The 13825-nt window shown below is 47.0% G+C and overlaps 1 protein-coding gene across 14 annotated transcripts in view, besides 1 other annotated feature; it reads right to left on the bottom strand.

Moving 5' to 3' along the window:
• Positions 1 to 13825, bottom strand: part of DYSF (dysferlin) — a 233203-nt gene that overhangs the window by 190489 nt on the left and 28889 nt on the right. The window lies entirely within an intron of this gene.
• Positions 2192 to 5399: an enhancer, noted in NCBI's record as "VISTA enhancer hs2170". NCBI's record gives its function as "enhancer in: blood vessels[3/3]" and the evidence as "EXISTENCE:transgenic organism evidence [ECO:0001131][PMID:17130149]".

Genomic DNA, 13825 nt, shown 5'->3' with positions numbered 1-13825 from the left:
GGGGTCCACCCACCTTGGCCTCCCAAAGTGCTGGGATTACAGGCATAAGCCACCACGCCCAGCCTTGAGTGGCCATTTTAAAAAGCTTTTAAAAGCTAATTAATTCTATTTTTCAGATGGGTTAAAGTATCATATGAAGAGGAGGCTGGGAGGTCTAATAGTCTACACTATGCAGGGATGGCATTTGGAGTTTTCAGGAGGTGGCCTTGAAGGCAGGGCCCTAAAGAGGGAGGGGAGGTGGAAGAGAAGGGTGCACTGAGGGTGCAGCTCTGCATCACGGTAGCTGGCAGAGACCCCAGAGAAACAAGTGGGTCAGAGAGAGGCAACCCTGTGGTAGGATGCCTGAGGACCCAGAAGAGAGCCACCAATGAGAGTGGTCTCCATGCCTCCACACCCACAGTGAACCCTTCTCTTCCACCTCTCCTCCCTCTTTTAGGGCCCTGCCTCCACGCCTGCAGAGGGTAGCAGAGCCCCTGCCCCAGTGACTCCGGGCCTTCCCCTATGTCAGTGGCGGTTTAAGCTGAAGAATGTGGGTGTGCAGGAACCAGGGCTGGGGCAGCCTAGAGGACCACGGCCCCTGGTGCTGAGAGCCATGTTAGCTGCAGGAAGATGGGAGGAGTGGGTACGGCTCAGACTGAAAAAGAAGTGGACAGGAGACAAGCTACCTTCTCCCAAATGCCCCAAAGGAAAGTGATCCAGAAAGGCTGGCAGGCCACATAGCTCCTGTTCTATTGGGTTCATGGAACAGCCCAGGTGGTTGACCCTAGGATGTCACACTCACCAACCCAGTGTTTTCAAACTGTACCTTTCAACCTACAGCAACACTTTGAAAATGTTCTTTCTCTCAACTATCTTCCAAAAGTATTAATCATTCAGTGATTTAACAATAAGAGCCCTCAAGTCATCCTACCATGCCAGAAACCTAGCCCTGCAATCTGACCAGCTGCGTGGCTGGGCACACATGACATAAACTTTCTGAGACTGTTTCCTCATCTGTAAAAGTCATTCATTCATTCATTCAACAAATATGTAGTGAGCACCACTCATGGGTCAGGTACGGTTGTAGGTACTGGGGATACTGATGAGAATAAAATGGACAACCCACCCTGCATTGTTGGAGCTTGGAGGAAATAATGAATACTTCAGAGAGTTCTGGTAAAATTTCAGTTAATACACCTATCACCCCCCACATGTGCCTGGAACCTAGATAGAACTTGGTAGGTGTCAGTTCCCTTCTTCCCCTCCCCACTCACCATGTTCCTGTGCTTCTCTGCACATTCCCATCCCACCCAGTGACTGTCAGCACCATATTAGACCATGACTTGAAGTGCTGTCATATGCAAGAGGGTTAGATTTCTTTTTGATCATTCCTGAGGGTAGAGAAATAAGATCCTCAAAATGTCAGGGAGAAAAACTGTAGCCAATAGAAGGAAGGACTTTCTAATGAATAATCCAGCCCCAGAATGGGTGTCTGTCTCACTCCAACACTGTCTATCAAGGATGGAAGAGATGAGACACCCAACCTAATGACCCAGAGGTCTTTCAACTCTGAGAGAATGGCCCTGAGCCAAGGGGTGAGGCTCAAGGCATGAGTCACCAAGGCACAGTGCTAGGCACAGGTAGGGATCAATGCGTGGTGGCCCTGGGGTTATGCCAGCACCACTGTGACCACAAGAGCCTCACACAGCCTAGCCTGGTACATGTGGAAGGAGTGCTGGAGATGAAAATCAGCTCATACCCATCATGGTAAGGATTGGATCAGGCAAGGATCATCCATGGATGCTAAGTTTAGGGGGACATCTTCTTGAGAAGCAGGATATTTGCACCATCTTCAAGTACATCTTAACAAACTTCAAGGGGGAGAAAAGAACTTTAAATATGCAATGGAAAAATCAGACAACACCTTGACCAGGTGATTGAAATTAACGTTCCCCAGTAAGGAACATCATGTGCCTCCAGATCCGGAGACAGACACAGCATCACTTAGACAGTGTTCTGGCCAGGGATGAGTAACCTAATCCAAGCTTGAATCTAAGCATGAGAAAACATCAAACAAACTGCCACGAAAGTTGTCAGAATAAAAATGGAGTCGCTAATGTTAAGAAAACCCTAACAAAAAGAGCTAAGGAAGGCCATGAAGAGAGGGTTCTCATGCTTGTATGCCTGATAACAAAAACCCTCACAAAAGACTGCAAAAACACAGTCTTGCACAAAGGCTATAACAGCCTTACTCAAAAAACACTTCTGCAAGAACATCTGCCCACTAATTACCAGTCCAACCCTGGACCAGAATCACCCTTGTAATTGATTTTTATAGCCAAGGATAATATTTCAAAATAATTATGTAATCCTCATTATTTTCCTCTTTTCCTCTAAAAAACCTTTGTGTTTCTTTCTTTCTTTTTTTTTTTTTTTTTTTTTTTGAGACAGAGTATCACTCTATCACCCAGGCTGTAGTGCAGTGGCACGATCTCAGCTCACTGCAACCTCCACCTCCTGGGTTCAAGCAATTCTCCTGCCTCAGCCTCCCGGGTAGCTGGGACTACAGGCGCATGCCATCATGCCTGGCTAATTTTTGTATTTTGAGTAGTGACGGGGTTTCACCATGTTGGCCAGGCTGGTCTTGAACTCCTGACCTCAAATGATCCACCCACCTTGGCCTCCCAAAGTGCTGGTATTACAGGCGTGAGCCAGCGCACCCAGCTGAAAACCTTTGTGTTTCTTTACCTCCTTAAATACTCATGTGGTTTACTATGGCATGCATATTCCCACGGCTGGCTCTATTCCCTCACAAATATCTTTTTTCTCTGTTCGTTATTTAGGCTGACATCCCAAATGAGGAACATTCTATTAGAAAAAAGGGATACTATATTATTCAAAACTGTAAATTGTCATGAAAGACAAAGACTAAGGAAACGTTCCAGATTAAAGGAGGCTATAGAAACATGACTAAATTCAATATGGACCACAGGCTGAATCCCGCACTGGGGGAGAGGGAAAGGGAAATTGCTATGAAATGAAAAACATTATTTCATCCATTAACATGACTGGAATACAAACAATATATTAGATAAAAGTATGGTATCAGCCAGGTGCTGTAGCTCCCTCCTGTAATCCCACCACTTTAGGAGGCTGAGGCAGGAGGATCCCTTGATCCTAGGAGTTCAAGACCAGCCTGGACAACATAGTGAGACCCTGTCTCTACAAAAAAAATATATATATTAAATTAGCCAGACGAGGTGGCTTGTGCCTGTGGTCCCAGCTACTTGGAAGGCTGAGGTAGGAGGATGGATTGAGCCCAGGAAGTCAAGGCTACAGTGAGCCTTGTTCAAAGCACTGCACTCCAGCCTGGACAACAGAGTGAGGCCCTGTCTCAAAAACAAACAAACAAACAAAAAAGTATGGCATCGTGTTAAATTTACTGAAGTTGATAACTGTGTCCCTACTCTTAAGAAATATACACTGAAATATTTAGGAGTCAAAGACCGTGATGAATATGACTTACCTTCAAATAGGAGTAAGAGAAAGAGGGAGAAACAAGAAGGGAGAGACGAGAGAAAGAAAAGGGGGGGGGGGAGGAAGGGAGATAATAATAATAAGTATAATAAAACATATATACTAAAACTAATGGAGTAAAATGTGAATAAGTATATCTGAGTAAAGAATATATGGATGTTCTTGTACTATTTTTACAACTTTAAATTTGAATTAAAAAAAATGTTCCAGAAGGGTTACCATGTATCCATTTCTCATTCTTTCTTTGAAATGAAGAAAAGCGCATGCCAATTAAAACTATATATGTATTGCGAGTAACTCATCACTGACTCACTGTATCTCCCCCTGGTTAGCGTCAATGAGCCAGGTGACAGGAAAGTGAGAGAGCCCTGTCCTGGAAGGAGACACATGCCATACAGGGGAGGAAACACCTGTCCTCTGAGCCCCTCCAGCTCTCCGCTATGCGTGCCAGGCAGTGAGGGGCAGGAAACAGGGAACAGCAGGACATTCCAGAGCCCCTGAGTCCCCTGGCCTCTGGCAGCCTTCCGGCCAGTATCTGATTCCCCAGGGCCTGCCCAAGGGTAACTCTAAATAGTTTTCCACTTCAGTCTAGAGAAAGACAAAAGAAAAATGATTCTGAAAGCCAGGGATGTCCTGGATAGAATCCAGGGCAAAATATAGTCATAAAAATCCTTGAAAATAAGGATATGGTCAATGCTTTCGGGCCCGCTGAAAACAATGAGGCAGTGAAGGGTAAATAATCCTGCCCAAAACAGCCTCCCAAGCATGCCAGAAGCGGGGGCTGGCAAACCAGCTTGCTAAAACCAGAGGCCAAGCCTATGCCTTTTCCCAACTTCTAACACAGCAAACCGCCACTCTGCCTTTATAAAGGTCTGTGTGCTATGTATGTTCATTGCAGCACTATTCACAATAGTAAAGACATAGAATCAACCTAAATGCCCATCGATGATAGACTGGATAAAGAAAACGTGATACATATACACCCTGGAATACTATGCAGCCATGAAAAAGAATGAGATCATGTCCTTTGCAGGAACATGGATGGAGCTGGAGGCCATAATCCTTAGCAAACTAACCCAGGAACAGACAACCAAATCCCAAATGTTCTCACTTATAAGTGGGAGCTAAATGATGAGAACACATGGGCACATAGAGGAGGACACACACTGGGACCTTTCAGAGGGTGGAGGGTGGGAGGAGGGAGAAGATCAGGAAAAATAACCAATGGGTCCTAGGCTTAATGCCTGGGTGAGGAAATAATCTGTACAACAAACTCCCATGACACAAGTTTACCTATGTAAGAAACCTGCACCTGTACCCTGAACTTAAAAATTTAAAACAAACAAATAAAGGTCTGTGTGCACACGTGCACCTCTGGGTAAATGCCTGTTGCCATGTGAGTGCAACTGACAGGTGAGAAGCAGAGAGAAAAAAGTTTTATACAGATAGAACAGAGTGAGGGTTAGTATTCCTAATAATATTCCAAATATATGTAATTATTATGAATTAAAAGGAAAAGACGAGCAACCCAAAATACAATGATTGGCAATCACAAAAGAAGAAATAGAAATGGACAATCAGCACACAAAAGATGCTCAACTTTACAAATGGCCAAGGAAACACAAATTACAACTTTTTTTGGTCCGTTCTACTAGCAAAAATAAATTAGCAGGCACTTTATTGCATTGTTGGTGGACATTAATTGGGACAACATTTTTGAAAAGTAATTTGGCAGAATCTACAAAAAATGTTATTTGCTTATACCCTTTGATCTAGTAATCCCACTTCTAACGACCTATCCTAAAGAAAAAAATAGCATAAGAACATAAAAATATTTGGATAAAGATGTTTACTGGATAATCATTCGAGAGCAAGACATTGGAAAGAAACTAAATATCAGTCAATGAGAGTACAGTGGGGTAAATTACGGTGCACACATACCGCGGAATACCACATAACCATTTAAAAATGTGATGGACTGACCTGGGAAAGAGTCAATGATGAAGTGATAAAAGCAAAGTGCAGACCAATACATATAGCATAATTCCATTTTTGTATAAGTAAATGAGTATGCATGTGTATAAACAGATGCCTGTAGATAACTTAGGAAAAGTCCAGAAAGATATGCACCAGGCCGGGCGCAGTGGCTCACGCCTGTAATCCCAACACTTTGGAAGGCCGAGGCAGGCGGATCACCTGAGGTCAGGAGTCCAAGACCAGCCTGGCCAACATGGTGACTACAAATACAAAAATCAGCTGGGCGTGGTGGCGGGCACCTGTAATCCCAGCTACTCCGGAAGCTGAGGCAGGAGAATCACTTGAACCCGGGAGGCGGAGGTTGCAGTGAGCTGAGATCGTGCCATTGCACTCCAGCCTGGGCAACGAGAGCGAAACTCTGTCTCAAAAAAGAAAGAAAGATACGCACCAAATCGTTAACAATGGGCACCTCTGGAGAAAAGAGAAGAAATTCATGGGTAGAAGATGGGAGAACTTGTACTTTTTCCTTTATAACTTTTTGAGAATGAAATGCACTTTTATACTTATAAAAATTACTTAGGTTTTTTTATACTTCCGTGAAATTTTTTGGTTGTTTTAAATTTAAAAAAATGCATGTGCACATATTATGCAATGCTAGTGCACACTCAGGTACAGCCGGGTGTCCATACGGGCCATGCACATAGTGTTCACATGTTTGTGTGGTTTACGTAAGTGCATCTATATGGATCCTGCTCCCAACAGCCCCCATATATTGCACCTTCAGTATTCCAAGCACTGAGCAGGCATTTGACACACATGCATTATATTATTTAAATTTCACAGCAACCTGGCAACATAGGGACTGCTTTTGCCATTGTCCTGATGAGGAAACGGTTTCAGAGAGGTCCAGGTTACAGACAGTGCCAGGATAGAACTCTGCTGACAGTGGGGTCCCTGAGCAAAGCCCCTGACCCTCATTCTCATTCCACCACCCCTGCCCTGCAAGCTCTGATGGACAGCCTGAGAATTAGAATACCTGCCCCTCCCAGTACAGAGCCCCTCAATCCCACCAGCATACTCCAGGTGTGGGAGACAGGCCTCAACTGGCCAGGCCCCCTCCCCAGGCGCCTCTGTCGTCTCCCATGCATGGCTACCCTGAAGAACTAAGAGCATGTTCAGCCCCTTCCTGGAAACCTCCACATTCCCTCAACAAATGAAACTCATTGACATAGGAGGCATCAGGCCACCCTTGCCTCCGCCCAGATGGCACCAAGGCCAGGCTCAGAGATGGCCCTATGTCAGGAAGAAGATACACCATTCCTAAAATATCTCCTCATAATCTACTGCAGTGGCTGGACACCTACCATTAACACTTCTCTCTTTTCTAAGCAGAGTCTGAGCTATAAAGCAGCATCCCGCCGATTCCTAAAATAGAGTGAAACATGAAGCCATAGGCTGCCACCTATGCATTCATATGATTTGGTGCTTTTTCAACCCACAGCTGGCTAAGAGCAGCCTTTGGTGGGAGAGGGCTGGGTCAGTGGGACTTTGAGTGGTGGGGGCAGCAGAAGGAAGCACGGGGGAACAAGAGCAAGGCAGCAGTGCAGAACTAACATTTAGGGAGACCCCCGTTGTGGCAGGTCCCTTGATTTGATACTCCCTAAGAATGGAAGAAAGCAAGGTTCAGGGAGTGTAGTGATCTGCCCAAGGCCACAGAGTGTTGCAGCTAGACCCTGGCTCTTCTCAAAGTCCACGCTTATTCCACTGGGGCAGATCATCCAGCTCAATGTGGGGGTGGGAGGAGGAGCAGCTGAAGGAGGAAGGAGGAGAAGGAGCATTGGGGCTCAGGAAAGTTCTCAGGTTGTCTCCTGGGTCCCCTCCAGTTGCAGGCACCATGACTGATGCTCAGACCATGGGGAAGGGTGAAGGCAGAAAGGCATCTGAGTGCAGGTGAGAGGCCCCTCAGTGCCCACTTTACAGAGTCACCAGGTCGCTAAAAGATACAGAGTAGATCACACTATTCCAAAGAAAATGCCACTGTGAACACCTAAGAGAGCGTCTTTAAAGGCAATCCTGACTAGACCTCCTCCTATAACACTTGATTAAAGCAGAGAGGCTGGGGACACGGTCAGGCTGGAGGGTAGAGTGACCAGGAAAAACACAGGGAGCCCACTCAAGTCTGTATCTCAGAGAAACGATGATTAATGCCTTAATATAAGGTGTCGCCTGTGGTATTTGAGACCTCCTCATTTAACAGGTTGTTCTGTATGCTTCCTTGTTGCATCTGGGCCCCCTGTCTTGGGGACCGGTTAGGCCTGGGGTTAGTGAATCACTGCAGTCAAGGTGAGCATCATTTTGACCATGGTGCTTTGCCAGGTGGATGTTTTGACCCCATGGAGATTTTTGCTTCCATGTTTATATTTACCAAACATTTAAATATAAAAAACACCTACAGTAATTAATTTCCACTGAGAAGGCATTTTTCCAGAACAAATTAAATGAAGCCAGTTTAATGTGTTGATATGTTTTGCATACAGAGCAATTAAACTGTTTTCTTTTTCTCTTTTACCATCTTTATTTTCATTTTACCAAAATTCTTTTCATTGGGGACAATTAATCCCTGCTTAAATTTCCCAACACAGATTTGGCTCACAGATTTTTAATTTTTTTTTTTGGTTGACATTAAGTTTTATCAAATATTGCTCCTTGCCATTTTGAGTTTTCTTTTGTGGAATTATTTCCACTAAGTCCAACTTCCCAAGTCAGTGTTTGCAGTTACCAACAGGATTCTTCCATCTGTTTTTCAGTTCTGTAACAATTTTACCATGTGCAGTTTCAGCCATTATTACTTGATGGTGATTATTTTGCCAATAATCACATACATAAACAATTACAAGAATGACCATTTCTATTTATTTCTTAGCTAATCCATGGAAAAATTGAGAGCAATTCCTTTCAGAAGTGCCAGCATCAGACCAGGCACAGTGGCTCACACCTGTAATCCCAGCACTTTGGGAAGCCAAGGCAGGTAGATCACCTGAGGTCAGGAGTTCAAGACCAGCCTGACCAACAGGGTGAAACCCTGTCTCTACTAAAAACACAAAAACTAGCCAGGTGAGATGGTGGGCACCTGTAATCCCAGCTACTCGGGAGGCTGAGACAGGAGAATCGCTTGAACCTGTGAGGCAGAGGTTGCAGTGAGCCGAGATCATGCCACTGCATTCCTTCCTGGGCGACAGAGCGAGACTCTGCCTAAACAACAACAACAACAAAATGCCAGCATCTCTCTAACACAGTGAGTTCTCTACCCTGCGGGCACACTGCCCCCCTGCCATCCTGGGTGGTTTCCAAAAGTGCTGACTCCTGCAGCCCACTCCAGAGGTTCTTGTTTAATCAGCTTAGTGCGGAGCTCAGACACTTATTTTTTTTTTAAGCTCCCAGGTCATTTCTAGATGCAGCCAGGTTGGAAACACTGTTCCAAAAATCTAAAGCTGCTCTGTCCAACACAGTAGCCACTAGCCACGTGGAATTAATTAAATCTAAGTCATTAAAATTAAATACAATTTAAGATTCAATTTCTCAGGCACACTAGTCAACACAAAGACAACATTTCCATCATCTCAGAAAGTTCTAGTGGGCAGTGCTGGTCTAGAGTCCAGATCAGTGGCTCTCAGCCCAGGCTGCGCAATGAAAACACCAGCACCTGGAGAGTAGGTGATGCTGCACAGACCTTGCCCCAAACCAACGAAATCAGAACCTCAGCCAAGGCTCAGGCATGAGTGGGTGTAAAAGCTGCCCAGGTGATTCTATTGTGTGGCCTGAATTGGGAACTTCTGGGCTGAACATCCCACGGGTCAAAACAGCTGGTCAGGGACCTGGATCATCTCCCCTTCAGCTTCTCTCTGAGAAGCCTCGAGTAAACAGGAAATTGTCCAGTGCAGCCTGGAACAGGATCCCAGGACCACCCGCTAGGTTTGCCTGAGTGTCTTCCACCCTAAGGAGTGGAGCTTCCTTTTATGTGCATTGGAAACCTGATTTTAGCCAGATAAAGTCGATCCATCCCTGAAGTTGGCTCAGGGGTCCTCGGGCTTAGGGCTGCCCCTCTCATGGGTTAATGGCATGCTGAGCAGCCCAGAGACAGTTCCCAGATGGAGATTTCCTTCCTGAGGCATGAAAGGATTCCCCAGATCCCACTCTGGGCCAGCAGACCACTCTGGTTTAACAAGATCACCCTAAACTGCCAGTGATCATCAGGGAAAACCCAGAAATGCCAAATGCCCCAGGAGCCATAGGAAAGAGAGGACAGTGGCGGTGAGGATGGTGAGGATCGAGGAGGGGCAAGAGAAGGAGGAGAGAAAGAATAAAAGGAGGGGCACAGGAAGGAAAAGAAGCAAAGCAGGAGACACAGAGACAGAGTGACAGGCTGTAAAGAATGAGGGAGGCCTGAGGGGAAATCTAGAAGCAGAGAGAGCCAGAGGGTGGAGGTGGGGAAGAGGGAGGGGAGGCAAGGTGGAGGGGGACTGAGAGGGTTAACAGATGCAGAGGGCTGTGATCCCCTCACTTGGAAGAGGATGAGGTTGGACAGCGGGGGAGCTCACAGAAGACACGCCCAGGATTCCCACAAACAAAACGGGTGGCTGCATGATGACTCCGGGGACCCTCACTGGAACCCACCAACTGGAGAGGCCTGAGGACAGTTGCAAGGCACAGCCACCTAACCCTTGAGTCCCTGTTTGCTTCCTGACCCAACAGGCAGGACTGGAGGGCAGTGAGGAGGTCTTCAATTTAAAATGCTCATTGAAGGGCTGGGCGCGGTGGCTCACGCTTGTAATCCCAGCATTTTGGGAGGCCGAGATGGGAGAATCACTTGAACCCAGGAGGCGGAGGTTGCAGTGAGCCAAGAACGTACCACTGCACTGCAGCCTGGGCAACAGAGCAAGACTCCATCTCAAAAATAAATACATAAAATGCTCATTGAACTGGATTCCCTGAAGTTTTTTCCTTTTCTTTCAAAATTTAAAATGTCATGCGTTCATTCTTGTTACTCCCTGGTATGGTTTTCTTTTTACACTTTTGGAATTTGTATTGCTGCTTGTCTTTGGTTGTTTTCTCACATCCATGTGTAGGGTGGAAGTACTTTGCCATCTGGTCATGGGGTGGGGTGACAGAATTACCTTGCAGGTACCTGTGCTCCCTCCCCTGAGGCATCGCACCTGCCTGAAAACAGCTGAGGAGGCCACACATCCCATGTTCTCCTGGCACAAAGCCAGTGATCTTGGCTCACTGCAACCTCTGCTTCCCGGGTTCAAGCGATTCTCCTGTCTCAGCCTCCTGAGTAGCTGGGATTACAGGTGCCCGCCACCACGCCCAGCGAATTTTTGTATTTTGAGTAGTGACGGGGTTTCACCATCTTGGCCAGGCTGGTCTCGAACTCCTGACCTCATGTGATCTGCTGCCCTCGGCCTCCCAAAGTGCTGGGATTACAGGTATGAGCCACAATGCCCAGCCATGGAGCCAAAATTCTATCATTTCTTCTCATGACAGTGTTGCTTTGGCATATTCTGAGAGTCCTCAAGTATTTATGAATGTACGTGCACATTTCAATCTAGTTTAATTAAGACAAGTTTTAATTGCTAGAAATCTGAAACTGAGATAAATGTTTGGAAAAATCAAAAATTACATTTAAATGTTATAAGAAAGGTGTTTCTGGTAAACGGGTGAGGTTGGTGAATTGGCTGTCCCATAAACTGATCTTTGAGGACCTGATTTCTGGCACACAGCCCTGCAGTGAACTGCTCACATGGGGCACTGGTTTTTAGGGAGCTAGCTGCCCCCAGGAGCTAGAGAACACCCACAGGGGCCAATGGGAGGACCCCAAGGTTCGAAGCTTCCCGTTCCCCATATGACCTCTGCTCCACAGAGCCAGAACAGCCTGCGTGTGGCCCTCACTTACCGTTACCCTGAGGGCTAGCCTGGTCCTTGAATTGGCCAAAAATATGTTCACAGCTCTCATTTTGCCTCTGTGGTCTTAGAAATCTCCCTACAGAGAACTAATTTTTAAAAAATTGAACTTCCGGAGATAGAGTAGAATCCAGAGGCAGGGAAGGGTAGCAGGGAGAGGTGGATAAAGCAAGGTGGTCAATGGATACAAAAACACAGTTAGATGGAATGAATGAGTCTAGTATTCCCTAGCACAATAGGGTGACTACAGCCAACAATAATCTATTGTATATTTTAAAACAACTAAAAGAGTAGAATTGAAATGTTGCTAACACAAGAAATGATAAATGTCTGTGGTGATGGATACTCCAGTTACTCTGACTTGATTGTTATACATTATGCCTGTGTCAGAACATCACGTGCACCCCATAGATATATACAACTATTATCTACCCATAATGATTTTAAAAATTTTTAAAGGAAATCTCTGGCCAGGCATGGTGGCTCATGCCTGTAATCTCAGCACTTTGAGAGGCTGAGCCAGGAGGATCACCTGAGGTCAGGAGTTCAAGACTGCTCTGGCCAACATGGAGGAACCCTGTCTCTACTAAAAATACAAAAATTAGCCAGGTGTGGTGGTGGGCACCTGTAATCCCAGCTAGTAGGGAGGCTGAGGCAGGAGAATCGCTTGAACCTGGGAGGTGGAGGTTGCAGTGAGCAGAGATCGCACCACTGCACTCCAGCCTGGGCCACAGAGCAAGACTTCGTCTCAAAAAAAAAAAAAAAAAAAAAAAAAGGGAAATCTCCCCACAGAGCCTGTAAAAATGCTGAATAAGATAATGAAAATGAAACATGTGCTTCTGCTGCATGACCTGCAGTAACCAGACTGTCCTGCCTCTGCCCCTCTAAACTCTGTCAACGCCGGCATTGTCAGAGGGAACTGAACTCTCCAGAAGAGACCAACACCATCCTGGGGCTTCCAGGAGCCTCCGAGAGGCACATGGGGCTCAGTGACTATGAGCATGTCCCAAAAACCTGCCTTCCAATCACAGCTCTGCCATCACTAGCCTTCAAGAAAGTTGCCCAATCTCTCAGAGCCTCAGTTTCCCCATCTGTAACGGTGACAGTTACAATAGTCGTGCCTAACTGATGGGAAAAGGTCTTGTATATAAGACAGCATGCGGCCAGACACTCAGCTGTGTGGCAGTTGTGTGACTTTGCTGCTATTCTCCTCAGCCTGGCATTGGAGACCCCCCTCTCAATTCTTCCCCACCACCCACTTCTCACAGGGCCGCACGTGTCGTGAGACTGAGTCCCACCTGTGAGACCTGAGCCTGGCTGCCCGCCACATCCACACGCTGGAATACCCTCCCCTTCTGGCCTTTTCAAAGCCTACCCCTGCCTTCAAGTCAGTCTGAGTGACCCTCCTCCAGGAAGCCTTCGAGGACTGCCCACTGTCCAGGGCTGCTCCCTCCCTGATCTGCGGGTCCACCATTCATGCTTGTTAGCGGCTGCCTTGCCTTCCACAGTGTCTGCGTTGGAAGGTAGCTGAAATGATTCCAATCCCTGTCCCCCGTGCAGGTGGAGATGTCTGAGGTCAACAGCTGGAAGAGACGGGCCCAAGATGCCCTGGCCCACAGGCCTGGGCCCCACACCTTGCAGCCACACTTTTGGGGGCCCAGTGAAAGTGCCCCACCCTCCCCACACCATGCACCCATGGCCAGCACAGCCACAGAGAGAAGGTGGCAATTGGGTTTTTTTCTGAGTTTTTAACATTTCAAATTTTCCAGGTGTTTTGCAGCCGGAGACCCTGATTGCCCTTCCCTAGGTTCCTGAATTCTCATCCTCCCCAACCCCTTCTGCCCCACCCCAGGGCAACACAGCCAGGCTTTCAGGCCTCAGACACCACTGACCCAGTTCCCAAACAAAGGCTCCCCTGTGAGCAGGTCACAAAACAGCAAGCCCATCCCTGATGCTTGGGCCTAGACCTCCGTAAATGGCACTTGAAGCACGAACCCACTCCTGCTGGCATCTAACGCAGCTGCCTCCTCTCATGCCCAGCAGGGACAACCGGACTCCCACTCTGATGCTTAAGGCTCATCATGAGCAGTTTCATGTGCTATGTCTCCCAGTCCACCCACAGCCCCAGTCCAAGACCCACCCATCTGCAGGTTGGGTTGAACTTGTCCACCCCACCACCTCCGTTTACAAGGCCCAGGGGCTCAATGGCAAGAGAAGGGATTCATCGCCTGCCTAGGGGGAGCCTGCTTTTGCCACCACAACTTTGATCCCCCCACCAAGAAACCCACCACTAGGTACATGAAAAACTCAGCAGAAACCCCAACACAGGGAAGCGCCCAGGCCGGGCTACTCATTTTTACTGTTCTGATTT

Source organism: Homo sapiens, chromosome 2 (assembly GCF_000001405.40).
Source record: "Homo sapiens chromosome 2, GRCh38.p14 Primary Assembly".
In the NCBI taxonomy this organism is placed as follows: domain Eukaryota; kingdom Metazoa; phylum Chordata; class Mammalia; order Primates; family Hominidae; genus Homo; species Homo sapiens.
This window is presented reverse-complemented; position numbering and strand designations above follow the sequence as displayed.